Genomic DNA, 27,824 nt, shown 5'->3' with positions numbered 1-27,824 from the left:
CTCTCTGGCTGACCACAGCTGGCTGTCAGGCCCAGCAAACATCTCTGCAGCTCTTTCCGGGGCAAAACGTCTCCCCTTCCAGACATCCAACTTCTTAATTCTCCTGACCTTAGAGCCCATCTTAAAACAAAATGAAAAACAAACCAGGGGATCAAGTTGCTGGATGACTCATTGCAGAGTTTCTCCTTCTTTCCCAATTACACAGGGTGTCTAAGATTAGATTAGCCAAGGCCAACAGTGCAGACTATTGTGCACCTGGCTAGCAGAGTCTTCCTTAGGCATTAAAGTAAAAACACTTGATCACATAACACCACCTGCCAACATTCAGCCTCCTCTGCCCATCAGCCTTGCTGACACAGGGAGTGGAGATTTGTGTAGAGAAATGACTCATTCAAATATGACTTAATCTAAACCGTAAGTGTATGATTTATTAATGTGCCACCAGGCCTTACACCAAGAGAGCCATTCCAGAGAAAAGTCCTTTTTCTCCTGAGAACAGTGCCAGCAGCTGGCTTCGTGACATTCTGGAAGCCCCGTGCAATGCTGTCAGGAGCATAGGGATTTTACTTTATCTCCCTTGCTTATGCTCCACATAACTGAAATATCTCACTGGAAGCTGCAGCAGTGCTGGCCCCTTGCACAGCCATATGTGACCACTGCAGAACAATCAGTTGGAGAGACAGTTTGGACTACATGGAGGGTGGAGATAAGGACAAAGTGAAGAATACACAGGAACCAGTGCCTCCTCCTGGAACTATGCAACTCCAAGCTGCTTCCATCAGCTGCTAGGTCCAGTAGGGAGGGACCTACTGAGAGGTGATTGGATTATGGGGGCGGTTTCCCCCATGCTGTTCTCATGATCGTGAGTGAGTTCTCATTTGATCTGATGGTTTCACGAAAGGCTCTTTCTCCTTTGCTTTCTCTTCTCTCTCCTGCTGCTATGTGAAGAAGGTGCCTGCTTCCCTTTCCGCTGTGATTGTAAGTTTCCTGAGGCCTCCTCAGCCATGTGGAACTGTGAGTCAATGAAACCTGTTTCCTTTATAAATTACTCAGTCTCTGGTATTCCTTTATAGCAGTGTGAAAATGGACTAATATACTTGCCCTTCATCCCAACGATGGATTTAAGACTAGAGACATTTCAAATAGTAGGTTTTTTGCCAAATGCCTTTCGCTGTAGAAATTCTATACATGGCCTTTGTCTGTTACACTGGAAGTCCTGCCACTTCTTAGATGGTGGAGATTAAAACAGCGATTTCTTGTGGTGGTGGCGGGGCTGGGGTTGGGAACATTGAGGATAAGGTGGGAGCTGCCCATCTCAGACACTACTGAGATAGTGGGATGGGCCACATAAATGTCTATGGAAGAGATGCCTTTGCCATACAATTCCTTCAACAAATACTCATTGATCACACACCATATCTGGGGGTGTAGCTGAGAACAAAACAAAGCTCCTGTTTTGAGGAGCTTTAGGCTGTAGAGAAAACAGAAAATAAACAAGCAAGCAAATGGATGTTTTTAAGTGGCAAAAGTGCTATAAAGGAAACAAGTAGTGGGATGAGATGAGGGGAGGAGAACTTCAGGTAAGGTGGCATCAGAGCAGGAAGCTGAACTGAGGGTGAGTGAGCTGAGCTCAACAGAAAGGACTGTTGGACTGAGCCAGCCACATGGAGATCTGGAGAAGGGAAGAGGGCACTACCATTTTGTTTTTGTTTTTTATTGGATTTAAGACGTCACTATTGTACCTCTAAAAGAAAAAAAAAAACTGTAATTATAATTGTAAATTACAAAATTGATTGTAAAACACATTTTGATAACAATGAATTAAAATATGTTAAATTACATGCCTTAGCATCAATATATTAGTTCAAAAGCCCAGAAGTGTTAAACAAGCTTAGTGCTTATCTAAGCAACTGAAAAGAATCTGATATGTTTATAGTTGGTGAATGACAGAGAAAAAGATATGAGGTTTCAGGGGGGCAAAAGGATAAATCTTGAGGTCTTAGTTTAATTAAAAACGGGTGATGATACCATTTACTGAGATAGGAGAGATTTCAGGTTGCCAAGATGTCAATTTCAGACATATTTTATATATGTTAAGTGACAATTAAGAGAAGGAGGGTTAAAAGGAGACTTAAGATTCAGTGAAAACTCAAGGTTTATGAAGACTTTTGCTCCATATCCATCAGGAAACCAGAAATCCCTGAAATTAATAGCTGAATAAATAGAATAAGGTCAACATTATTTTTAACACATATTTTTATGTCATATGCATACTATGTCACCATAATCAGTAAACTGTTAAAGTGCCAGAAAATGCTTCTACATCATTTTCATTCTGACAGGAAGTAGATAGAAATGGCATGTATCTACGAAGCCAAGTTCTTTCAAAATTTACAGCTTAATTTCTCCAATTGTTTAGAGTGATAAATTTTTCACTGAGGCCATTGACCAGCACAATAATTGTGTCTACACAGCATGTTTATATCAAATACCATTGCATCTGTTATGTCCTGTTCATGCTGTGACCTTCCCAGAAGGCAGTTAGGGATTGAAACTAGTACGCACAATAGTGTAGATCAGAAAACTGATGTCAGGCTCTAGTGACATGTGTAGGTACTGGCAGAACTGGAATTAGAACCAGATTTCTACAGTTGCACCCCTGGTTCTTTGCTCCAAATGCTAAAGCCCTTGGTTATTTGATTTTCCTGTTGTCTTTATCCTATCCCCAGGCTCTATTTGGGTTTCTGTAGTGAAATTAAGGATAACCTCATCTGCATGCTGTACTTTCTTAAATAGATTTTTCTAATCTCCCATACTCCCACAACCATAAATGACAAAATACAAGCATGCTTAGGATCATTGTGCCCCACAATAAAAAAAGCTGTTGCTATGTTTTGGAAACAGATCAATCTTGGTATTTAAGTGTTGTTTGAACAAAGATTAACTGAGCCTGTTCTCCTCCCCCAGGTACTCAGACCCAGAACATACTGTTTTCACTCCAAGAGTCTGAATGTCTCTTTTCTGAGAAAGATGAAGAAAAAGTACTTTTTTCATGAATTTAATACTCATTAAAGTCAATAGTCGGAAAGCCTGGCTAATTAGCAGACTTCTTCAGAGGACTTTAAATAATATAGTTACTGTATTTTTATTATATTGAAATCTCCAAATATATAAAGTTAGAATCTTCAAGGTGGGAGGAAGAGGAGAAATTGGATTTCTCTAAGCTCCCTAGTGATTCTGATGATGACTCATTTGGGGAAGTGCAGCATTGAATGGCCCTTCTAAAATGAGGACAGCTATTTTTTGGACTAAGCACCCCTCCCGACTCTCCCCATTCCTCATCCTCTCAGAGACTTCTCTCTCTCAGATTGCCCCATCTGTCTCATGTATTATAATCACTTCCCCTCTACTGGTTTCTTCTCATACGTTTAACTTGTTCAAGTGCCTTCCATCTTTAAAAACAGTCAAGGCACAGCCCTTGATTTAACCATAGGAAGCCCGCTCCCCACCACCCTGCCATCAGCTCTCTTCTTCCTGTGTAGTGAGCACTGCTTCTTTGAGCTTCTGAAAGCTGTAGTCACTGCCTCTTGCTGGTAACTGAAAGCACATTTCTAAGTTCGCATATTCCCTGACTTCTTGACAGCACTCATGACTCGCCATCTCCTTTTCTGGAACACTGTTTGCTTGGCTTTCACAATATCATGCTTTTCTAGTTCTTTTTCCTGTTTTGGACACTGCTTTACAGAGAATTAACATTCCTCTTTTTCCCGCTGACCCTGAATCAAGAAAGAATCATGTTTCTTTCTTTATTTTTTATATCTTAACTTTTGAGGGGTAGATTTTCAAGCATACATAAAAGTGAAGAGAACAGGATAATGAACTAGGTGTACACATGACTGCATCTTATCAGTGCAATACACACTCATATTACTTTTTCTATACTTCATCCATTTTCTCCCTGCTCCCTGACTTGGATCAAATCCCAGACATTACATTATTTAACCTGCAAATATTTCATCATATATATGTGGGAATATATAGATCTCTATCACTATATATAGTGAGAATTTCTTTCAAAGAAAAGATAATCACAATATTATAATCTCATCAAATGTAGTTGTTATAATTCCTTAATGTCAGTCTAATAACAATCCTGTTTTCACAATTTCTTCTCTTGTAGATTTTTAAAAATTAATTTTGTTGAATTGAAATCTAAATAAGATACAGAGATAAAGATTCATTGACATGTCCCTTAAGTATTTTAGTTTATAGGCTGTCCTACTATATTCCCTGCCTCTTCTTGCATTTTATCTTGATTCAGTTGAAAACTCTGGGTCATTTGTCTTATAAAGTTCATGGGGTCTGCAATTTGGTGAAGGTGTCCTTTTGGCATTATTTAACATGCGTCTCTGTTCCTTGTATTTTCTAGAAATTATTGGTTATATCTAGAGGTTTGATCAGATTTAGGTGAAATTATAAAAAGATTCCGTCATAGGTGATTTTGTGAAGTTCCATCAGAAGGTACCCATCTGGTTTTCTCTCCTTTTGTGATGCTAGCAGCCACTGAATATGGTAATCTACTCCAATCATTAACTAAATTTCTTTTCTGGAATTATTCCAAAAGAGAAACTTTTTTCATCATGCATTTGGTTGTCCTGAGGTATGATTGTATAGGAAAAACAGGATAACCTACTGATACTTTCTGTTTAAACTAGTATTCAAAATAATAAAAGTAGTCCCCTAGTATTATCTAAAGATTTCAAAAGACTTTTAAAAAAATTATTGATGATTTTATGAGCTCAGGGATTAAACATAGTCAATCTGTTTCAATCCCTTGCAGTTATTCCAATTAATAATCAAATTTTCCTGCCTTTGGCTTGCGGCAGCGTATTCATGTTGAATTCTGGGTCACTTTGACATGACTCCAGTTGTCTTTGATGGTATCCTTTTTGTGACAAAATGTCCCAGGATTATAATTTCCTGTCCCATACTGGGAAACAGCCAGTTCTCCAAAGAGCTCTGGAACCATTCAGTGAGAAATGTATTTAGATGCAACATTCTGGGTGCTAAGCATGCCCATTAACCTGATCAATCTCACGTCTTTCCTTTCTTTCAGCATTGCCAGAAAACTCATTTCTCAGTGACACCATTGTAATTACTCATTTGATTATCCCGCAATACACATATAAGAGTCTCAGGAAAACAGTACCATCAGCATTATATGGTAATATCTACAAGCACTTTAATATTTTCTTATTGGGGGTACACTTTTTTCCATAGAGAATATTTTACTAGGTAAGAACAATAATATTGATATGTTTTAATTTTTCTTGAAGTGGTTCTTCTGTATGAGGTTATATCACCAAGTAGATATACAGTTATAATGTTTGATTATTACACATTGCTTTTCTTAAAATTTAATTTTGTTTTAAAGCTATTAAAATCAGGTTTCTTAAAGAAAGATCCTCATTCTATCTGGATCAAAATCACTTTCAGAGCTAATTAAAAATGTGGTGTCCTGGACTCACGAAGCCAGAATTGCTGAGGAGATAGCCCGAGAATCTGAATTTTTAGCAGACATTTTTTTAGGTAAGAACTTCCCAATGATTTTGCCGCAAATGAATTAAAGAAGAATAGACACCCTCAGCTTTCTAGTGGCTTGTGGCAAAGAAAGGCACAAGCCCTGGGCTGATTGTCTTCCTGCATGAACGGCCTCATTCATTTCTCTCAGGTACCTTACCCGCAGGATCATTTCTGTGAATATCCATGAGGTGAAAAAGTCTGGGAAACACTGTCCTAGGTAACTTTTTAAAAAAATTTATTTCATTTTAATTTTTTTTTTTTAGAAATGGAATCTCGCTCTGTCACCCAGGCTGGAGTGCACTGACACGATCACAGCACACTGCAGCCTCAAACTCCTGGGCCTCAAGCAATCCTTCTGTCTCAGCCTCTTGAGTTGCTGGGACTACAGGCATGAGCCACTGTGCCAGGCTCTAGGCAACTGCTATGCACAGTGAAATTTGAGGACCACTGCCTTAAATATTGGTGTCCTTGGGTTCTTCTGTCTGGGCTAGATTCCTTACTCACTATTCTGCAACCCCAGCTGGGACAATTCCATCACTCCATAGCTTCATTTCCCATAACCACAGATTTGCTGGGTCTCATACCTGGAATCTACAGCCATGCCCCTCATTGTCTTTTGGCCATCAACTTTTAAATGTGTCCCAAAGGCTCCAAACCAATATGCATCAGCCCCAAGGTGGAAGACAAATCTCCATGTGTCCTAAATCAACTCACCTGGACTGTATCCCACCTTTCTGCAGTCTAGCAAATCATTTTAATTATAAATGAAACATTTCACCCCCACAAGACTATATTGTTATTAATGGCAAGAACTTTATCTTCTTCAGTGTAAATATTTCTCAGTAGTGTTATATTACATTTTACATGAAGGATACTCAACAGACAATAACGTCCACCTGAACTCATTTCTGAGCTAGCAGCAGAATTGGAAAGGAGTTTAAATTCACCCCTGCTGCTTAGTAGCTAAGTGACTTTAAACAAGTTATTCTACTAGTCTGATAATTAGGGTTTTCACCTGAAAACTGAGGGAAGCCAATTCATTTCATAGGGCTGATGAGGAAAAGCTTAAAAAACACCTGGAAAAAACCGCTAGGCTATGGTAGGTGCTCAACAATTATCAATGTCTTCCCCTGACATTTATCTTATGAGGGAGGCATTGGCCGCCAGTCACAGATGACAAAGTGAAGACTCAAACAGGCAACAAAAGAGGTTCTCAGTGTTATTTGGGGGTGGCACCCACCTTATAGGGTTCACGTGAGGATTTAATTAGATAACTCACGTACATTATCTAAGCTGAGCCTAGCTTGTAGTATGTATCCCCTTAAATGTAAGCTTCCTAAGAACAAGAATTTTGTCTCTTCTCTTCATTACTGGGTCCCAAGCACCTAAAATTGTGTATGCTGCATTGTAGGAACTCAATACATATTTGTTGATAACACGAATACTAATTCCCAATCCCCATTTTCAATATTTCATTCATTGTGAACCTAACATTGAGACACTTCTGCTCACCATGTATCCTGCCTGTGTTGGTGTATATTCAGCTCACCTTTGCTGGACACAAGAAATAAGGAGAAAGGGCTCCTGTTTAGTGGCTTGACAAATCAGCTAATAGAAAAATATTAAAATCCACCTGGGCAAAACAAAAAAGAAAGACATAGTGTGAGATGTAGCCAATCCCTGTGGGAGAAGGGGTTAAGAGAGAATATTGGAGTTGAACAGCACGACTCAAGGGAGCAGCTTTGAAACAATGAAAGAATCTAGAAATGATTATGATGTGGGTACATAGCAGGTGGTGGGGTAGAAAGGAGGCTGGGGGAAGAGAAAATTAGAAACAGCAGGGACAGGGCTGGCACTAGCACAGACAGTGAGGTGAAAGCTGGCACTGGAATAGGATTAGGCTATTAGAACAGCAGCTGATTGCAGTCAGGACAAATGGGCACTGAGCTGGTGCCAATAATGGCAGAAAATAAAGAAGAAAGCAAATAGAACCTGAAGTGGCAGTAAATTTAAAATTAGACAGATGAACATGTAGTCTAAGACCCATTTATTAATCCCTGCATTCACTCTTCCGTAGTAATATATACAGTCTTTACAGGGCAGGTTTCTTTCCCCTCCAATAACATGCTTGTATTTCCCCCAAATACCTTGAAGGAATAAACAAAAGAATATAAATTATGGCTTTTTTGAGCACTAAGCAATTTCTAAAGGAGTGCAAGGATCCCCTAATCAAGTAGCTGTGTATCAATAATAGGAGTTTTTAAAGGAGCAGATCTGTTGTGTGGGATAAGTCAGAGATTAGTGTGCCAGTGCTCCAGAGAAATGAGAGGAAGGTAGAAGAAGGTCTGCAGTAAGTAGATTTCAGTTTGTGCGTAATCAATGAGAACCTGCAACCTGGTAGAGAAGTTTAACATGCACTCTCAACCTTTGAAATGTTAAAAAATAGGATTGCTGTCAGAAAGTAAGACTCGTCTTACAAGATAAGTTTTTATCTCTATCTTTATTCAGACAGGAAACGCCACGAAGTGTCTGGATCAAAGAACAGACTATTGCTCACAGAGCACCTTCATAGCATTGTTCCTCATGCCCCCGTTGCCCAAGGGGATGGCAGGTTGAGGACCAGATGTACTTGCATGTTCAGGGGATGCAGCACAGAAGAGGAACTCCAAAATTATTATTATTATTGTTATTATTATTATTTTTGAGATGGAGTCTCGCTCTGTCGCCCAGCCTGGAGTGCAGTGGCGTGATCTCGGCTCACTGCAAGCTCCGCCTCCCGGGTTCACGCCATTCTCCTGCCTCAGCCTCCCGAGTAGCTGGGACTACAGGCACGCACCGCCACGCCCTGTTAATTTTTTTTGTATTTTTTTTTAGTAGAGACAGGGTTTCACCGTGTTAGCCAGGATGGTCTTGATCTCCTGACCTCGTGATCCACCCGCCTCGGCCTCCCAAAGTGCTGGGATTACAGGCGTGAGCCACCGCGCCCGGCCGAACTCCAAAATTATTAAACTCTGAGCGTCTGCAGGTGACTGACACATCTGCGCTTCCTTTCTTCCAGGGTGTGGGGAAGAGCGAGAAAAAGATTTCCGCTCTGGAAGGTAAACAAATACTCTCTGGAGAGAGAAGAGGAATGTCCCTAGCAGATGTCTCCAGAGAAGACAAGACTTTAAATTCCGCCAGGGAAATATACAATGTCTAACTTCTAAGGCACATTTGCCATTCAATCATGCTTTAACCCACGTTGCCAGAAATTTTTGCTCACTAGGTTTTGACTGTACAGGAATGTGAAAATATTCATGAAGAGTTGTTTTCCAATGCTAAAGAATTGATGTGTTTTAACAGTTGAATTAATTGTATTGATTATGATCACACCTACTTTTTATATATCTTCATTTCTAACGTTTCTGTACAATCCTGCCTTTCCACCTGATATAGTTAGGCCTTGTGTCATCAACCAAATCTCATCTTGAATTGTAATCGCCATAATCCCCACGTATTTAGGGAGAGACCTGGAGGGAGGTGTTTGGATCATGGGGGCGGTTTCCCGCATGCTGTTCTCATGACCATGAGAGTAAGTTCTCAAGAGATCTGATGGTTTTATAAGCGTCTGTCATTTCCACTGCTTGCACTTCTGTGTCCTGCCACCTTGTGAAGAAGGACGTGGTTGCTTCCCCTTCCACCATGATTGTGTTTCCTGAGGCCTCCCCAGCCTTGCAGAGCTGTGAGTCAATTAAACCTCTTTCCTTTATAAATTACTCAGTCTCTGTATTCCTCTGCAGCAGTGTGAGAACAGACTAATACATCACCACTTTATTTACTTTACTCTCTCCCCATACCGAGGTTTTCTACATTTTCTTTCTAGGTCTCTACAGTTTCTGCAAAGATCCTTTATGGAACTCTTAGGGAAGCTGGGATGTATAATAAATAAAGGGCTCTTTTCTTTGAGTCCCACACCCATTTTCTGTGTATAAAAATCTTCAACTCCACTTTTGTCTGTTCTATTTAAATGTGTGCACATTTCCTTCTAATGTTGTATATGAAAAAGAGACACCTCTTAGCAGTCTTTCATAGAGCAAAATTTTTTACTTTGATAAAATCTAATTTATCAATATTTTTAAATTTTATGGATCAATCATGCTTTTGAGGTTGAATTTAAGAATGCTTTGCCTAGCCCTAGATCCCAAGTATCTTTTAAAAATTATTTTTCTAAATGCATTATTTATGTTTTACACTTAAGTCTATAATCCATTTTGAGTCCATGTGTAAGATTTAGGTTAAGGTCAAGATTTATCTGTTTTTGTTGTTTTCTCTATAAATGTCAATTGCTCCAGCACTATTTGTTTAAAAGCCAATCTTTCCTCCGCTGAGTTCTTCCTATAAGTTTGTCAAAAGTCAATTTGGCATCTTTGTATAAGTTTATTTCTGGATTCTCTATTCTGTTTTATTGATCACTGCATCTATCCCTCTTGATTAGCTAGATAATAAATCCTACAATAAGGTAGAATTCTTCCCACTTTATTCATATTCAAAATATTTTAAAGCTATTCTAGTTTCTTTTTATTTCCATATATATTTTAGGATAATCTTATCTATATTTACAACATATGTTGCTAGGATTTTGATAGAATTTGTTTTAAATTTGTGTATCAATGTAGGGAAGACCTGACATCTTTACTATTACGTTGATCTTCCAATCAATGAATATGGTATATCTCTCAGTTTATAGCTATTGTCTTTAATTTATTTCATCATGGTTTTTAGTTTTCAGCAGAGAAGCTTTATACATGTTTTGTTATACATGTATAACAAAAGAAGCCTTATACACTGACATTTTATATTTTGAACAATTGTAAATGGTATTGTTTAAAAATTTTGTTGTCTATGATAGAAATAAAATTGATTTTTGTAGGTTTATCTTGTAACCTATGACTTGCTGAGCTCGCTCATTAGTTTTTTTATTGTGATAAAATATACATGAGATAAATTTCATCATTATAATCATTAAGTTTAGACATCAATTGCATTAAGTACATAAATGCCTTATGCAACCATCATCTCTATCCATCTCCAGACCCTTTGCATCACCCTAAAATGAAACTCTGTGCCCATTAAACAATAACTCCCCATTCTGCCCTCACCCCAGCCCTTGGTAATTACCATCCTACCTTTTATCTCTATAAATTTAACCATCCCAGGTAACTCATATAAGTGGAATCATGCAGTGTTTGTCCTTTTGTAACTGGTTTATTTCACTTAGCATGATGTCTTCAAGGTTTGCCTATGTCATAGCATGTGTCAGAATTTCATCCCTTTTTAAACTTAAATAATATTCCACTGTAGGCATATGCCACATTTTGTTTATTTGTTCATCTGTTGATGGGCATTTGGGTTGTTTCCACCTTTTGGCTACTGTGAATAATGCTGCTGTGATCATGGGTATGCAACTGTCTCCTGGAGTCCCTGCTATCAATTCTTGTGGGTATATACCCAGAAGTGGAATTGTTGCAACATATAGTAATTCTATGTTTAATTTTTTGAGGACCTGCCATAATGTTTTCCACAGTAGCTACATTGTCTTATATTCCCATTAAGAGTTCCAATTTCCTCACATCTTCACCAATACTTATTGTTTTCTGTTTTTTTAAATAATAGCCATCATAATAAAAGTAACATGGTATCTCATTGTGGTTTTAACTGCATTTCCCTTTTTACTGGATTGTTTGTAATATTGCTGTAATTGAGTTGTAGGAGTTTTTAAATATGTTCTGAATAATTAATTTCTTATCAGATATGTCATTTGCAAATATTTTCTGCCATTCTCTGGGTTGTCATTTCACTCTCTTGATAGTGTCCTTTGATGCACAGAAGTTTTGAAATTTGATAAAGTTTAATTTGCGTATGTATTTATTTTGTTGCTTATGCTTTTGGTGTCATATCCAAGAAATTATTGCCAAATTCAGTGTCATGAAGATTTTCCCCTGTGTTTTCCTCTAAGAGTATTATAGTTTTAACTCTTGCACTTAGATTGATCCGCTTTGAGTTAATTTTAGTATATGGGGTAAGACAAGGGCTCAAATTTGTTCTTTTGTTTGAAGATTCTAGGTCATTTGTGATCTTTAGGATTTTCTATGTAGACATTAATGTCATCTTCAAATATGAACAGTTTATTTCTTCCTTTTGTATATGTATGAATTTACTTTCCTTTTCTTGCCTTATTGCACTGGCTAGAGTTTTCAGTACTATGATGAATAAAATCAGTGAGAGCAGACACCCTTGCTTTGTTTCTAATCTTAGGAGGAAAGCTTTCAGTCTTTCATCATTAGGTATACTGTTAGTTGTAGGCTTATTATAGATGCTCTTTATCAGGTTGAGGCAGTTTCCTCCTTGGTTAAGACTTTCTATTTTTCATTTTCAGTTATGACCAGGCATGTTCATAACTGCTCATCAAAACTTTGAATTAGTGGCTGCTTTAACATCCTTCTCAGACAATTCTAACATCTGTTTTGTTGGTGGTGGCATCTATCAATTGTCTTTTTCATTCTGTTTGAGATCTTCCTTGCGTTTGGTATGATTTTTTTAAATATTATGTCATGAAACTGCATCTTATTTAAATCTTCTGTTTTAGTTGGCTATGTCTGACATCACTTCCCCAGGGGAAGGTGTTGTTACTGCTAGTGGAGGGTGAGAATTATGGCTCTCCACTGACATTGTGGTGGGATTGGTCCCATTACCACTGGGCAGGGTTGAAAGTCCTGACTTTCTGCTAGGCCTTCTCTGACTTCATCGCAGCAGGAGGAAAAGATGCCTCTGGAGTTGAAGTCAGGTTGCACTGACACTGTGTGTGTATGGAGGTAGGCTGGGGTGAAAGTGGAGACTCATTACCACATGGTGAGTAGTTTCCAGCTCTCTATTTGGCCTTCTCTGATACCACCCAGACAGGGACATTGGGGATACCTCATTACAGCCTAGTGAGGGTCAAACTCTAGGCTCCCCACTCAGTCTTTGCTATCATGGACACTGTAGGACCATAGTTTTTTCTGTGCTGTTTGCTTGATGTGTCTTCCTTGGACCCTGAGTTCCATAGCTGGTCTGCATTCCTCTCTCCACCTTTAAGACGTCTTCTTATGTTTATTTCATATTTAACATCCAGGGTGGTAATTAGAGGGAAGAATAGAGGGAAAAGTACAGTTGCACTTTGTTGTTCAAAGAGCAGTTTTGAACTGCACAGACCCATTTCTCTGAGCACACCCAGGGATGATTGTACTTGTATAAAATTTTTTTCCTGGATGCAGAATTCTCAATTGACTGTGAAAGTTCATAACAAAGAAAACAGTGGGGAAGACAAATCTGGAAATGAGGAAAATAAAAATTAAATAGTGAGACCACCCATGGAGCTTGTGGCAAAGCCTGAATTGAATCCGCTGTATCTTAAGATTGTGCCTCATTCTAAATTTAAGTCACCCTTCTCATTATGAAAGTGTCACAACTTCTCAGTAGGTGAGGAGACAGTCTAAATTTGAGAAAAGAAAGTTACAACAAAGGTTTTGAGCAAGCTGCTAAGTGGATTTATTCATGTTTGAGAAATCAAATATATGGTTAATGAGCTCTTTAACTAGAAGCCAACACTAGGGAGGAGTAGACAGAAGTCACGGGGAGGGAGCCCCCGGACATTTCAAAAGACTTTGCCCTGCAACATCTCCTCCACATTTAAGCTTTTAGGTTATTGTAGCCACATCACAAGCATGTTACCTACCCAGATATTGTCTGCGCATCATTCCCAAAAGCTTCCCTGGGTCTTCATAATATTAATGAGATTCTCCCCCAGGTTAGACCCCTTTGGCTTGAGTCAGAAACAGAATTAATCCGGGGGACAATCCAGCAGCACCCATCTCTGGGTTGCAGAAATATCTGAGGTGACCAGGCAGTGTTTGGAGTCCCCTCAGTTAGCTAACAAAGTGAGTTCACAGCTTCCAAGACCCCAGGCTTTCCAGGCTAATAAAGAGCTGAGGTTATAGGCTCTCCTTATCAAACGCTCTTTGGCAGCTGCCATAACCATTCCAAGTCTAGTCCTAGAATAGAAATGACGCGGTTTCAGGAGCTGACAGATGGAACTTTAAGCCTTCCTTCCTGCCACATCTGAAGTTCTTTTTTAAAAAAATAGAAAACCATGACAATAAACACTCCTTGAATGCCCTGTGGAAAAGTGTACTCCTCAGAATTCACTAAAGTGGGGTGAAGCAGTGGGTTGTGGTGCTGAGAAAACATCTCTTCCCCTCGGCAGTATATTGGAATCTCATAGAAACTTCTGTGGCTGGGAAGCAAACATGCTCTCTGCCCCATTGCTCTTATTCATCTTTAGACCTGATAATACAGTTTGAACTTCAAGTTGCACTTTAAATGGCATGCATTTTTAGCCAGGCACAGTGGCTCATGCCTGTAATCCCAGCACTTTGGGAGGCCGAGGCAGGCAGATCACTAGGTCAGGAGATCGAGACCATCTTGGCCAACATGGTAAAACCCCGTCTCTACTAAAATACAAAAAATTAGCTGGGCTTGGTGGCACATGCCTGTAATCCCAGCTACTTGGGAGGCTGAGGCAGGGGAATTGCTTGAACTCGGGAGGCAGAGGTTGCAGTGAGCTGAGATCACGCCACTGCACTCCAGCCTGGTGACAAAGCAAGACTCCGTCTCAAAAAAAAAAAAATTAATTAATAAAGGGCATGCATTTTTTAATTTTACCTAAGGAAAGCATCCATTTAAAGAGGCTGAGAGACCTAGTGTAGGAGCACTCAAATGATGTTTTAATTGTATTTTATTGCAATGTATATTGTTGTAAAGAAGTATGAAAGGTAACGAGGTGAGAGAGCTGCTCAGAGAAATAAAATAATGCCTCACTTGAAGAGAACAAAAGGAGACAGCTTTTTCATGCAGTTGGTTGGAAGTAGCTGAATGGAGGATCTAAAAAGTCAGATTCTGTTTCTTCAGCCTGGAGATGGCCACATGGTCAAGGATGCCGAAGGAAAGCAGCTCTCAAGAAAAACGTTGCTTACTCTAAACACGTCGGAACAAGCCAGTATCACACAAGCATTTATCTCTATGGATAAAACTAAATACATATTATGTTTTTTGGAACATTTTTGCCTTTACCCCTGAGATAATGACAATGACTTAGCTCATGGAAAGGTTGTGGGCATTAATTAATTAATTTTGAGGCAGAGTCTCACACTGTCACCCAGGCTGGAGTGCAGTGGCAAGATCTCGGCTCACTGTAACCTCTGCCTCCCGGGTTCCAGCGATTCTTCTACCTCAGCCTCCTGAGTAGCTGGGATTACAGGCATGTGCCACTATGCCCAGCTAATTTTTGTATTTTTAGTAGAGACAGGGTTTCACCGTGTTGGCCAGGCTGATCTCAAACTCCTGACCTCAGGTGATCCGCCTGTCTCGGCCTCCCAAAGTGCTAGGATTACAGGAGTGAACCACCGCGCCCAGCCTGTGGGCATTAATTTAAATAAAGTGTATGTGAAGTACTTACTTACCATCCACAAGGAGACCTAGACCTGAGGTTGTTTTTCTTATTCTCATATAATAAAGGTTGCATTCTGTGATGTAATATGGCTTCAATTTTAATTGTTATTTAGGCAACAAATAATTCTTCATCTGCACATGATTTTTATCAGCCAGGTGACAAGTCAAGTGCTATATAGAGGACGACCAGATGTCAATCAGAAAACTCGGTTCTGCTTATTGATGTCACTAATTGTATTTTGGACAACATATTTTCTTGCTTTATTGTTTGTTTCTTTTTGTCTTTGTTTCCTAAGTTACAATTGTTTCATACCTGAAAATCGAATACTTGTGAGTTGCTTTGAGATCTCCTGGTGATGGCTAGAAAAAAAATCACAGAAACAAATGCAATATCAGGATGAGAACAATTAAATACTGACAGGGTTGGTCCAGAAAAACATTCCTACTTATTTTTTAACCACACCATCCTTTGCTACTGCATTTCTTTCTACAATTTTGTCTCTCTGACATCTATGTCCCCCAATCTGACAACACCTCTCTTCTCTCAGGAGGACTAAGATCTTTCCAGACCCAAAAGGGTAAAAGTTCCCAGCTCTTTCCCTTCAGAAACAGAAAGTCAGATTCACTCATCTCTGTGGAAAGTACTCTTAGCAAAACGTTCAATGACAAACTTACTTTACCTTTCTTCTCACTTAATAGCCCTCTCGACCAGGCGCGGTGGCTCACGCCTATAGTCCCAGCACTTTAGGAGGCTGAGAGGGGTGGACCACCTGAGGTCAGGAGTTTGAGACCAGCCTGGCCAACATGGTGAAACCCCCTCTCTATTAAAAATACAAAAATTAGCCAGGCGTGGGGGCAGGAGCCTGTAATTCCAGCTACTTGGGAGGGTGAGGCACGAGAATTGCTTGAACCTGGGAGGTGGAGGTTGCAGTGAGCAGAGATTGTGCTACTGCACTCCGGCCTGGGAGATAGAGCAAGACTGTGTCTCTCACACACACACACACACACACACACACACACACAATAGCCCTCTCTTGACAGCAAGGCTTTCTGCTTTCCTGGGTAAGGGATCTCAGCACGGTTTTTTGACACAGGGAGGGTTTGGAAAAGGTCCCAAACATCTATGTGCCTGCAAAGTGATGGGCTCTAGAGGCAATGTCTCAGGGATCACATTATGAGTTTTCAAGCTCAAGATGACTTAACAGGCCTTGTACCCACCCTCAGTGCACTTGGCTCCCTTTTTCATCCAACAATTACTGGAACCAGTAGTGGTGTCCACTCAGACTGCACATGCCTGGGCACCATCCAGAAGAGGAAAATGTTTTGTGAGGCTCCCAGCCCTGAGGCTGCAGAGAAACCATGGAAGACCTGCTCATGAGCTCTGCAGTGGCCCTACATGGGGGTGTCAGGGGAATAGCCACGAAGGGTAGGACCTCAGAGGCTCATCACCCCATAATTGGCATATAACATTCAGAAAATAAATATTAATTGAAGAAATGGAGGGTGAGAGGGAATAGCAAAGCAAAAGAGACAGGTGACAAGAGAAGGGCTATTGGAGGTGTCAATTGATGTCAAAGAATAGAGAATTCCCCCACCCCCATCTCTTTTCTTTACCTTAAAAACAAAACACATTCTTTGGATATGACGGTATAAAATGTAAAATCCTGTTTTCCTGTAATTATCATGCTGACTCTTTCCTTCCAGGCTTTAATTGATTTGGCAGAAGCTCTTTGACCCCCTGCTTATAGGCTTAGCCATGTTCCAAACTAGGCTGATACTGGCCCTAGGTGTTGGGGGAGTGGCCAGGGGAGGGGGTTGGCGCATAAGACCTGGGCCAGTGTCCAGCCTTCTATTATCCTTGCTTGCTACTGGCTCTAAGGTAACTGTGGCATCTTGCAAATTTCATCCCCTACACTTGGGGATCTGTAGGGTCCTGTTACTCCCCTGCCTAAAAGCCTTCACTGGCCTCTCATTGCTCTTAGGATATAGAAAATCCTCCATCCCTTGACCTGGCGGGCTGCCTCTGTGGCCTTAGCTTTTAGCCTGCCTGCTCCTATTACTGTCAATGCTTGGGTCACATTCGGTCCCTCCTCATCACCATAATGGTCTTCTCCACTACAGGGCCATTGTTCATGCCATTGGCTGTGCCTAGAACACGTTGCCTTTCTTGTTTGCCTAGTTAATTCCTGTTCACTCATGATGTGCTGATTAGGTCAGATCTCTTTCTCTCTCAGGTTCCCACAGTGCTAGGCACCTTTCCCTCTGAGCACCTGGCACAGTTGCAATGTTAGATGTTGGTCACAGGTTGGCTTCCCTGGGGACTGACTCTGGGACTCTGAAGTTTGTTTAAAAGAGGTATGTTGGTGAGGAATCCTAGGAACAATCAACGTGTGTGAGAGAGGCACAAGGAGGAGTTGAACTGTGATGCAGTTGAAGCAGGCATCTCATGAGCCAATAGGGTGCACTGGAGCTAGAATGGCCCTTGAAGTTGCCTGGAATGGAACAGGAGGGCTGGACCTTTGTAACTCACATTGGCCATCACTGCATCAAGACTCTCCAGGTAGGAGATACAACCTTGAGCAGGAAAGCTTTCTTCAGTAGAGGGTGATTACTAGAACAGACTCAGCAGTGAGCCATTAGTAGGCAACACTCCCACCAGCTAGGGAAGGATGGGCCTCAGTCCTGAAGGGGTCCACTGCAGGGTGCACTACAGCATTTGTGTTATTTAGTCAATGCCTTATTCAATCACCATATTGCAAGCTTCTCCAGGAACTTTTTGTTTTATAAAGGCTTAGTGTAGTACTTGGCACAGTGCAGGATCTCAGTAAGTGTTTGTCCAAAAAAAAAAAAAATGAATCCAGTCTTGCTGTGACCCCTAATTAGGGCAACCGACTATTCAGGTTTGCCCAGAACTATCCTGGTTTTAGCACTGAAAGTCCTACATTTCAGGAAACCTTCAGTTCAGGGAAAACTGGGGCAGTTGGTCACTCTACCTTTAATATTCTTAAGTACTGTTTACTGACCCAGAACAGAACTCACCAAAACTGTTGGCATGCTCTGCTAATAATCCGTTTTCCAGGGATTGGCTGGAATTACTTCACTACTCTGCTCACCGTTAAATGGGCCAGTATCAACCCAGTTTGGAACATGGCTAAGCCTATGAAGAAGGAGTCAGATACTGACTTTAGTTTGGCTTTTCTACTTTCTATAAATAGGTCCTATCCTCCCTTTCTTTCAACATCAAGCCTCTGGTTTCTGACCTACTTAGCCCTTTCTGCTAACCCTGCAAGTCTGTTCAGATTCCTGATCTCAGGGCTCTCTATTGGGCCTATCCTGTTATCGCCAGCATACCTCTTATTCTCTTCCCACTCTTTTCCCATTCACGTGAAAACATGGACATGGTGTGATTTGTGGACTCCTGTTAGGTGTTGGAATGACTGTCTATCTTTTCAAAACTGTAGACTCAGTGGGAATTGCAGGCTTTCTGGATCAGAAGCAAGGTCAACAGTACAGAGAGGACACTGTGATCTGTGTCTCCATTGTGAGTCTGATCCATTCAGAGATAGGAAGATAGAAAACCTTGGGAATTCTGATACTGATGGCAAATCAGTCTTCCTAATTTGCTTTTGATGAAGTGCTGGGAGATCACTTATTCATTCAACAAATATTTCTGATCTTGGTAATTGTCAGGCCTTTGAGCCCAAGCCAAGCCATTGCATCCCCTGTGACTTGCACATATACACCCAGATGGCCTGAAGTAACTGAAGAATCACAAAAGAAGTGAAAAGGCCCTGCCCCGCCTTAACTGATGACATTCCACCATTGTGATTTGTTCCTGCCCCACCTTAACTGAGTGATTAACCCTGTGAATTTCCTTCTCCCGGCTCAAAAGCTCCCTCACTGAGCACCTTGTGACCCCCGCCCCTGCCCACCAGAGAACAACCTCCTTTGACTGTAATTTTCCATTACCTTCCCAAATCCTATAAAACGGCCCCACCCCTATCTCCCTTCGCTGACTCTCTTTTCAGACTCAGCCCACCTGCACCCAGGTGAAATAAACAGCTTTATTGCTCACACAAAGCCTGTTTGGTGGTCTCTTCACACAGACGTACATAAAATTTGGTGCCGTGACTCGGATTTGAAATTGGTGAGATGTTTCTTGGGCTGGTCGGTCTGAGGACCTGAGGTCATAGGTGGATCTTTCTCATGGAGCAAAGAGCAGGAGGACAGGGGATTGATCTCGCAAGGGAGAGTACCCCAACCCCTTCTCTCCATGTCTCTACCCCTTCTCTGATTTTCTGGGGCAGGGGCAAGAACCCCTCAACCCCTTCTCCTTCACCCTTAGCGGCAAGTCCCGCTTTTCTGGGGGAGGGGCAAGTACCCCAACCCCTTCTCTGCGTGTCTCTACCCCTTCTCTGCTTTTCTGGGGCAGGGGCAAGAACCCCTCAACCCCTTCTCCTTCACCCTTAGTGGCAAGTCCCGCTTTTCTGGGGGAGGGGCAAGTACCCCTCAACCCCTTCTCCTTCACCCTTAGTGGCAAGTCCCACTTTTCTGGGGGAGAGGCAAGTACCCCAACCCCTTCTCTCCATGTCTCTATCCCTTCTCCTTCACCCTTAGCGGCAAGTCCTGTTTTTCTGGGGGAGGGGCAAGTACCCCAACCCCTTCTCTCATTGTCTCTACCCTTTCTCCTTCACCGTTAGCAGCAAATCTCGCTTTTCTAGGAGTGGGGCAAGTGCCCCAACCTCTTATATCTCTGTGCCCTGATCCTTTATTTCCGCACCCCGACCTCTTATATCTCTGTGCCCCGATCCCTTATTTCCGTGCCCCAACCTCTTATATCTCTGTGCTCTGATCCCTTATTTCCATGCCACGACCTCGTATCTCTGTGCCCCGACCCCTTCTCTGCTTTTCTGGAGGGCAAGAACCCCCCACCCCTTCTCCGTGTCTCTACTCTTTTCTCTGGGCTTGCCTCCTTCACTATGGGCAAGCTTCCATCTTCTATTTCTCCTTCTCCCTTAGCCTGTGTTCTTAAGAACTTAAAACCTCTTCAACTCTCACCTGACCTAAAACCTAAATGCCTTATTTTCTTCTGCAATGCCGCTTGACCCCAATACAAACTCGACAGTAGTTCCAAATAGCCAGAAAATGGCACTTTGAATTTTTCCATTCTGCAAGATCTAAATAATTCTTGTCGTAAAATAGGCAAACGGTCTGAGGTGCCTGACGTCCAGGCATTCTTTTACACATCAGTCCCTTCCTAGTCTCTGTGCCCAATGCAACTCGTCCCAAATCTTCCTTCTTTCCCTCCCGCCTGTCCCCTCAGTCCCAACCCCAAGCGTCGCTGAGTCTTTCTAATCTTCCTTTTCTACAGACCTATCTGACCTCTCCCCTCCTCACCAGGCTGCTCCTCGCCAGGCCGAGCTAGGTCCCAATTCTTCCTCAGCCTCCGCTCCTCCACCCTATAATCCTTTTATCACCTCCCCTCCTCACACCCGGTCTGGCTTACAGTTTCGTTCTGTGACTAGCCCTCCCCCACCTGCCCAGCAATTTACTCTTAAAAAGGTGGCTGGAGCTAAAGGCATAGTCAAGGTTAATGCTCCTTTTTCTTTATCCCAAATCAGAAGTGTTTAGGCTCTTTTTCATCAAATATAAAAACCCAGCCCAGTTCATGGCTTGTTTGGCAGCAACCCTGAGACGCTTTACAGCCCTGGACCCTAAAAGGTCAAAAGGCCGTCTTATTCTCAATGTACATTTTATTACCCAATCTGCTCCTGACATTAAATAAAACTCCAAAAATTAGAATCTGGCCCTCAAACCCCACAACAGGACTTAATTAACCCACCTTCAAGGTGTACAATAATAGAAAATGTTGCAATTCCTTGCCTCCACTGTGAGACAAACCCCAGCCACATCTCCAGCACACAAGAACTTCCAAACGCCTGAACTGCAGCAGCCAGGTGTTCCTCCAGAACCTCCTCCCACAGGAGCTTGCTACAAGTGACGGAAATCTGGCCACCAGGCCAAGGAATGCCCGCAGCCCGGGATTCCTCCTAAGCCGCGTCTCATCTCTGCGGGACTCCACTGAAAATCGGACTGTTCAACTCACCTGGCAGCCACTCCCAGAGCCCCTGGAACTCTGGCCCAAGGCTCTCTGACTGACTCCTTCCCAGATCTTCTCAGCTTAGCAGCTGAAGACTGACACTGCCCGATCGCCTCGGAAGCCCCCTAAACCATCACGGACGCTGAGCTTCGGGTAACTCTCATAGTGGAAGGTAAGCCCGTCCCCTTCTTAATCAATACGGAGGCCACCCACTCCACATTACCTTCTTTTCAAGGGCCTGTTTCCCTTGCCTCCATAACTGTTGTAGATATTGATGGCCAGGCTTCTAAACCTCTTAAAACTCCTCAACTCTGGTGCCAACTTAGACAATACTCTTTTAAGCACTCCTTTTTAGTTATCCCCACCTGCCCAGTTCCCTTATTAGGCTGAGACACTTTAACTAAATTATCTGCTTCCCTGACTATTCCTGGACTACAGCCACACCTCATTGCCACCCTTCTTCCCAATCCAAAGCCTCCTTTGCGTCCTCCTCTTGTATCCCCCCACCTTAACCCACAAGTATAAGATACCTCTACTCCCTCCTTGGCGACCGATCATGCACCCCTTACCATCTCATTAAAACCTAATCACCCTTACCCCACTCAATGTCAAGATCCCATCCCACAGCACGCTTTAAAAGGATTAAAGCCTGTTATCACTCGCCTGCTACAGCATGGCCTTTTAAAGCCTATAAACTCTCCTTACCATTACCCCATTTTGCCTGTCCTAAAACCAGACAAGGTTTACAAGTTAGTTCAGAATCTGCGCCTTATCAACCAAATTGTTTTGCCTATCCACCCCGTGGTGCCAAACCCATATACTCTCCTATCCTCAGTACCTCCCTCTACAACCCATTATTCTGTTCTGGATCTCAAACATGCTTTCTTTACTATTCCTTTGCACCCTTCCTCCCAGCCTCTCTTTGCTTTCACTTAGACTGACCCTGACACCCATTAGGCTCAGCAAATTACCTGGGCTGTATTGCGGCAAGGCTTCACAGACAGCCCCCATTACTTCAGTCAAGTCCAAATTTCATCCTCATCTGTTACCTATCCTGGCATAATTCTCATAAAAACACACGTGCTCTCCCTGCTGATCATGTCCGATTAATCTCCCAAACCTCAATCCCTTACAAAACAACAACTCTTTTCCTTCCTAGGCATAGTTAGTGCACTCAGAATTCTTACACAAGAGCCAGGACCGCACCCTGTAGCCTTTCTGTCCAAACAACTTGACCTTACTGTTTTAGCCTAGCGCTCATGTCTGCGTGCAGCGGCTGCCACTGCTTTAATACTTTCAGAGGCCCTAAAAATCACAATCTATGCTCAACTCATGCTCTACATTTCGCATAACTTCCAAAATCTATTTTCTTCCTCATATCTGACGCATATACTTTCTGCTCCCCGGCTTCTTCAGCTGTGCTCACTCTTTGTTAAGTCCCACAATTACCATTGTTCCTGGCCCAGACTTCAGTCTGGCCTCCCACATTATTCCTGATATCACACCTGACCCTCATGACTGTATCTCTCTGATCCACCTGATATTCACCCCATTTCCCCATATTTCCTTCTTTCCTGTTCCTCACCCTGATCACGCTTGATTTATTGATGGCAGTTCCATCCGGCCTAATCGCCACACACCAGCAAAGGCAGGCTATGCTATAGTACAAGCCACTAGCCCACCTCTTAGAACCTCTCATTTCCTTTCCATCGTGGAAATCTATCTTCAAGGAAATAACTTCTCAGTGTTCCATCTGCTCTTCTACTACTCCTCAGGGATTATTCAGGCCCCCTCCCTTCCCTACACATCAAGCTCGAGGATTTGCCCCCACCCAGGACTGACAAATTAGCTTTACTCAACATGCCCCGAGTCAGGAAACTAAAATACCTCTTAGTCTAAATAGACACTTTCACTGAATAAGTAAAGGCCTTTCCTGCAGGGTCTGAGAAGGCCACCGCAGTCATTTCTTCCCTTCTGTCAGACATAATTCCTCAGTTTAGCCTTCCCACCTCTATACAGTCTGATAACAGATGAGCCTTTATTAGTCAAATCGGCCAAGCAGTTTTTCAGGCTCTTGTATTCATTGAAACCTTTATATCCCTTACAGTCCTCCATCTTCAAGAAAAGTAGAACGGGCTAAAGGTCTTTTAAAAACACACTTCACCAAGCTCAGCCACCAACTTAAAAAGGACTGGACAATACTTTTACCACTTTCCCTTCTCAGAATTCAGGCCTGTCCTCGGAATGCTACAAGGTACAGCCCATTTGAGCTCCTTTTTATTAGGCCCCAGTCTCATTCCAGACACCAGACGAACTTAAACTGTGCCCCCAAATAACTTGTCATCCCTACTATCTTCTGTCTAGTCATACTCCTATTCACCATTCTCAACTACTCATACATGCCCTGCTCTTGTTTACACTGCCGGTTTACACTGTTTCTCCAAGCCATCACAGCTGATATCTCCTCGTGCTATCCCCAAACTGCCACTCTTAACTCTTGAAGTAAATAAATAATCTTTGCTGGCAGGACTATGCTGAACCTCCTTAGGCACTCTCTAATTAGATGTCCTAGGTCCTCCCAATTCTTAGTCCTTTTATATCTGTTTTTCTCCTTCTCTTATTCCATTTAGTTTTTCAATTCATACAAAACCGTATCCAGGCCATCACCAATCATTCTATACAACAAATGTTTCTTCTAACGTCCCCACAATATCACCCCTTACCACAAGATCTGCCTTCAGCTTAATCTCTCCCACTCTAGGTTCCCACGCCGCCCCTAATCCCACTTGAAGCAGCCCTGAGAAACATCGCCCATTATCTCTCCATACCACCCCCCAAAAATTTTCGCCGCCCCAACACTTCAACACTATTTTGTTTTATTTTTCTTATTAATATAAGAAGGCAGGAATGTCAGGCCTCTGAGCCCAAGCCAAGCCATCGCATCCCCTGTGACTTGCACATATACGCCCAGATGGCCTGAAGTAACTGAAGAATCACAAAAGAAGTGAAAAGGCCCTGCCCCGCCTTAACTGATGACATTCCACCATTGTGATTTGTTCCTGCCCCACCTTAACTGAGTGATTAACCCTGTGAATTTCCTTCTCCTGGCTCAGAAGCTCCCCCACTGAGCACCTTGTGACCCCCGCCCCTGCCCACCAGAGAACAACCCCCTTTGACTGTAATTTTCCATTACCTTCCCAAATCCTATAAAACGGCCCCACCTCTATCTCCCTTCGCTGACTCTCTTTTCAGACTCAGCCCACCTGCACCCAGGTGAAATAAACAGCTTTATTGCTCACACAAAGCCTGTTTGGTGGTCTCTTCACACGGACGCACATGAAAGTAATCACTCCCAATATAAGATTCTAAGACAAAATATGAAACACAGAGAACTTGGTTTTCCTGGCAACTATGATTTTTTACTTCACTGGCACATTTCATTCTTACACTAAAAATCAAAACAATGAAAATAAAAATAGCCCCTTTTTCCCTCCACGTAGCTCATTGCATGCTGTACTTCTGTACTTCCTAAATGCAGTAGCCCTTCAATAATCTCCTTCATCTCTCTCCTTCACCAAAAAAAAATTGTTTTTCTATCCCTTCTCAATCTTTATGAATATATCTAAAATGGCTACTTAATTAATTTTGTTCAATGTTGTCCCGATGAATTCAGAGATTATTGGTATTTGTTCCATTCTAAGGAAGAATAAATTAAACTAATGAAGACATAGGCAGCCAGTCTGGCATCACTGAGCACACAGACCTAGTATTATTGACAGAGCAGGTGGAAATCTCCTGAGTTCTGGGCATATCTGCGGATGAAAACACAGTGCCTTCATTTTAGAGAGGTGCAAGACAGAAGGGCTATTGGAGACGTAAATTTATGTTAAAGAACAGAGAATGTCCCCTCTCTTTTTTCCTTACCTTAAAAACAAAACAAATTCTTTGGATATGATAGTATAAAAATACAAAACCCTCTGCTTTCCTGTAATTATAATGCTGGCTCTTTCCTCCCAGGCTCTCATAGCAATGTTCCCACAGATATCCAATAAAAGAAAGAAAAATCAGAGACATTGCAGTTCTTAAGCGCTATTAGGCAACTTTAAGGAATGTTCACGAGTACATATTTGTACATTATTTTATGTAGACGTGGCTAAGGAATAGTGTATGCAATTAGCAGAGTAACCCAAACTATTCATTATCAAAGAATCAGTGTGCACTGAGGTCCCTGCAAGACTATAACTCTACTGGATATCTTTCTTTGATGCTTCAGAAGGTACTGCCATCTTCTGCGTGGTCCCAGGATCACTTGTGAGCACTAATTATCAGTATGCAGCAAGAGCCAGTTCAAATAAATTCCGAGTTGGCGGCTTGTTTGTTATTACCTGGAAATACAGCTCATAAACTACAGCATTTAAATCCTGATGGGGCATAAAGAAATGTTTTAGAATTATGTGGGGAAATCTTTCCCTTGGGATAACTGATTTTTAAAGTGATCTTCACTCTGATCAGGTTTCACCTCAAGGACTGAAGAGCTAGCTCTCACTGCAGGCCCTGGGGGTGACCTCTATAGTCTGAACTCATATCAAGGGCATCTCGTGTCAAATGCTCAGTCTGCAGGGTGTCTTGGATAGACAAATAATTTTGGAAATGGATACATTTGACAAATCACCTTCACTGGTTAAATGAGGTGAAATAAAAATAAAATATGTTGCATAATGCATTATTATAAAATATCTGTAGATGCAATTGGTTCTGTAAGTAGCTGAGAACATTTTACCAAATAAGCCTTCTGAAATTAACACCATAACCACATAAGAATAAAATAGAATGGTATTAGATGTTACATTTGTGTGTGTGTGTGTGTGTGTGTGTGTGTGTGTGTGTGTGTGTGTTGGGTAAACCGGAATTTTATGCAGGACACAAACACAATGTTTGAATTATTGCTAAAAATTTCAGAAAGTACAGGTAAGCATTAAATTATACTATTTGAAATGTTTATCAGCACTATTATCTTGTAGGCAATTATTACGGTCACTATCCCTTCAATTTGGGTATCTACACAGACTCTCCTAGTCTTTTCATTCAAATTCTGCTATCAGAAGTCACCAAGTCCACCTTGTAGTTAAATCCAATGTCCTTTGCATCAACCTATTTGGACATTTTTCAGCAGTTGACACTTTGACCATTTTCTGAGTCTTAATATCTTCCTTCCAAATGTCAGACATTGTAGCCAGGCCTAGCGGTGCATGCCTGTGCTTCCACTACTTGGGAGGCTGAAGCAGGAGGATCCCTTGAGCCCAGGAGTTCAAAGCCAGCCTGGGCAACATAGCAAGATCCCATCACTGGAAAAAAGAAAAAAGTCAGGTCAGGCATTGTGATAGGTATTTAGCCCAGGTAATCTAATTTAATCTGTGTGAAAGTTTCCATTATACCAAACCCAACATTACCATGAAACAAACTTCCCTTCCCTTCCCTACATTTTTTGTTAAAGCACCATTATCTTAGTTTCAGGTTGGAAACTTCAGTATGTTTCTGCATCATAATCATTACGGGTTAGGAAGACATGTTAATTATGCGTTAAAACTGCCCTCAGCATTATTTCCCCCTTCTATCTGCTCTTCTTTGCTTCCCTTTCGGACTTTCATTACTAGAACTGCGTCCCAGCTGTATTTGCCAGCTCCAGTACCCCGCTCAATGATCCAGCCTGTGCATCACTGGGTGGGCCAGCCTTCCTAACACCATGCCTTCCATATTCATTTTCTACACACTAATGACAGTCTCACTTGACTGCACTCCGGACTCAGGTCAATCCTCAGGTCAAAGTACTCAGGAACTTCCGTCAAGTCTTCAAAAGCCCCCATCTCTCACTCTCCTGAACTGATGCGAGCTGTCACTACTCCTCAACATACTTTAGTTGCCAATATTATTATTTAATAAACAGGCTGAATGAAAAAATTCAGAATGGTCATTCGATAACACTGGCAATTAAATTGTATTATGATACATAATGGACCAGGCACTGTGCTAAGCGCTTTCCAAGAAGTCACTATGATCTTTATATCCCCCAAGGGGGTGGCTAGTAGGTGAGGAAGCTGAGGTTGAGAGGCTTGCCCAGGGTGCCACATCTGGAGACTGGCACAGGTGTGCCTGGTGGTGGCATCTCCACCTTGAGCCACTATGCTGTATCCCAAGTAACCATTCTACTGCTGCCTGGCTGGGGCCTTCACTTTGGCTTGTACTGGCCTCCTCAAATGCCCTCACTCTCAATCTCCAAGGACCAGGTGTCCCGCAAAACCTTTCCTAATGTTGGAATCAGAAAACAATACCCCAAATGAAGGCCTCAGAAGCAAAAGTTATTCTCTGACCTTCTTCTACCCTCCTGTCTTTCAATCCCAACTCCCCCAAGGCTACCCATAGAAACTAGAATCCCTCTTCTCCAAGGCAGGTCATAGAAACCGGAACTCCTTTTCCCCACAGCCAGCCATAAAACCGAAAAATATGACTTTGTGTCCCCCTCCAGTCTTTCTGTGTAAAAACTGGACATAAATAAATTTCCTGACCTATCTCATTTAATTGTAGGTCATAAGACCTCCATTCCAGGGAGGGCGCTGCC

General features: G+C 42.0%; 1 long non-coding RNA gene across 4 annotated transcripts, besides 3 other annotated features; it reads left to right on the top strand.

Moving 5' to 3' along the window:
- The first annotated feature begins 480 nt into the window (after positions 1–480).
- LOC107985362 (uncharacterized) lies at positions 481–11,265 on the top strand. 4 transcript variants are annotated; one of them, XR_007066946.1, is made up of 4 exons: positions 481–5,224; positions 5,497–5,589; positions 5,732–5,800; positions 8,642–9,285. It is a non-coding gene; the product is annotated as an uncharacterized LOC107985362 (long non-coding RNA). The 4 variants fall into 4 exon arrangements; XR_007066945.1 differs by having other exon boundaries at positions 481–816; positions 5,732–11,265; XR_007066944.1 differs by having other exon boundaries at positions 5,732–11,265.
- Positions 16,967–17,796: an enhancer, noted in NCBI's record as "H3K27ac hESC enhancer chr1:233825947-233826776 (GRCh37/hg19 assembly coordinates)". NCBI's record gives its function as "activates a minimal SCP1, AML or CMV promoter by ChIP-STARR-seq in primed H9 embryonic stem cells {active_cell/tissue: H9 hESC(primed)}" and the evidence as "EXISTENCE:reporter gene assay evidence [ECO:0000049][PMID:30033119]".
- Positions 17,797–18,626: an enhancer, noted in NCBI's record as "H3K27ac hESC enhancer chr1:233825117-233825946 (GRCh37/hg19 assembly coordinates)". NCBI's record gives its function as "activates a minimal SCP1, AML or CMV promoter by ChIP-STARR-seq in primed H9 embryonic stem cells {active_cell/tissue: H9 hESC(primed)}" and the evidence as "EXISTENCE:reporter gene assay evidence [ECO:0000049][PMID:30033119]".
- Positions 18,627–19,456: an enhancer, noted in NCBI's record as "NANOG-H3K27ac hESC enhancer chr1:233824287-233825116 (GRCh37/hg19 assembly coordinates)". NCBI's record gives its function as "activates a minimal SCP1, AML or CMV promoter by ChIP-STARR-seq in naive H9 embryonic stem cells {active_cell/tissue: H9 hESC(naive)}" and the evidence as "EXISTENCE:reporter gene assay evidence [ECO:0000049][PMID:30033119]".

The sequence above is a fragment of the Homo sapiens genome, chromosome 1 (genome assembly GCF_000001405.40).
Source record: "Homo sapiens chromosome 1, GRCh38.p14 Primary Assembly".
NCBI lineage: Eukaryota > Metazoa > Chordata > Mammalia > Primates > Hominidae > Homo > Homo sapiens.
This window is presented reverse-complemented; position numbering and strand designations above follow the sequence as displayed.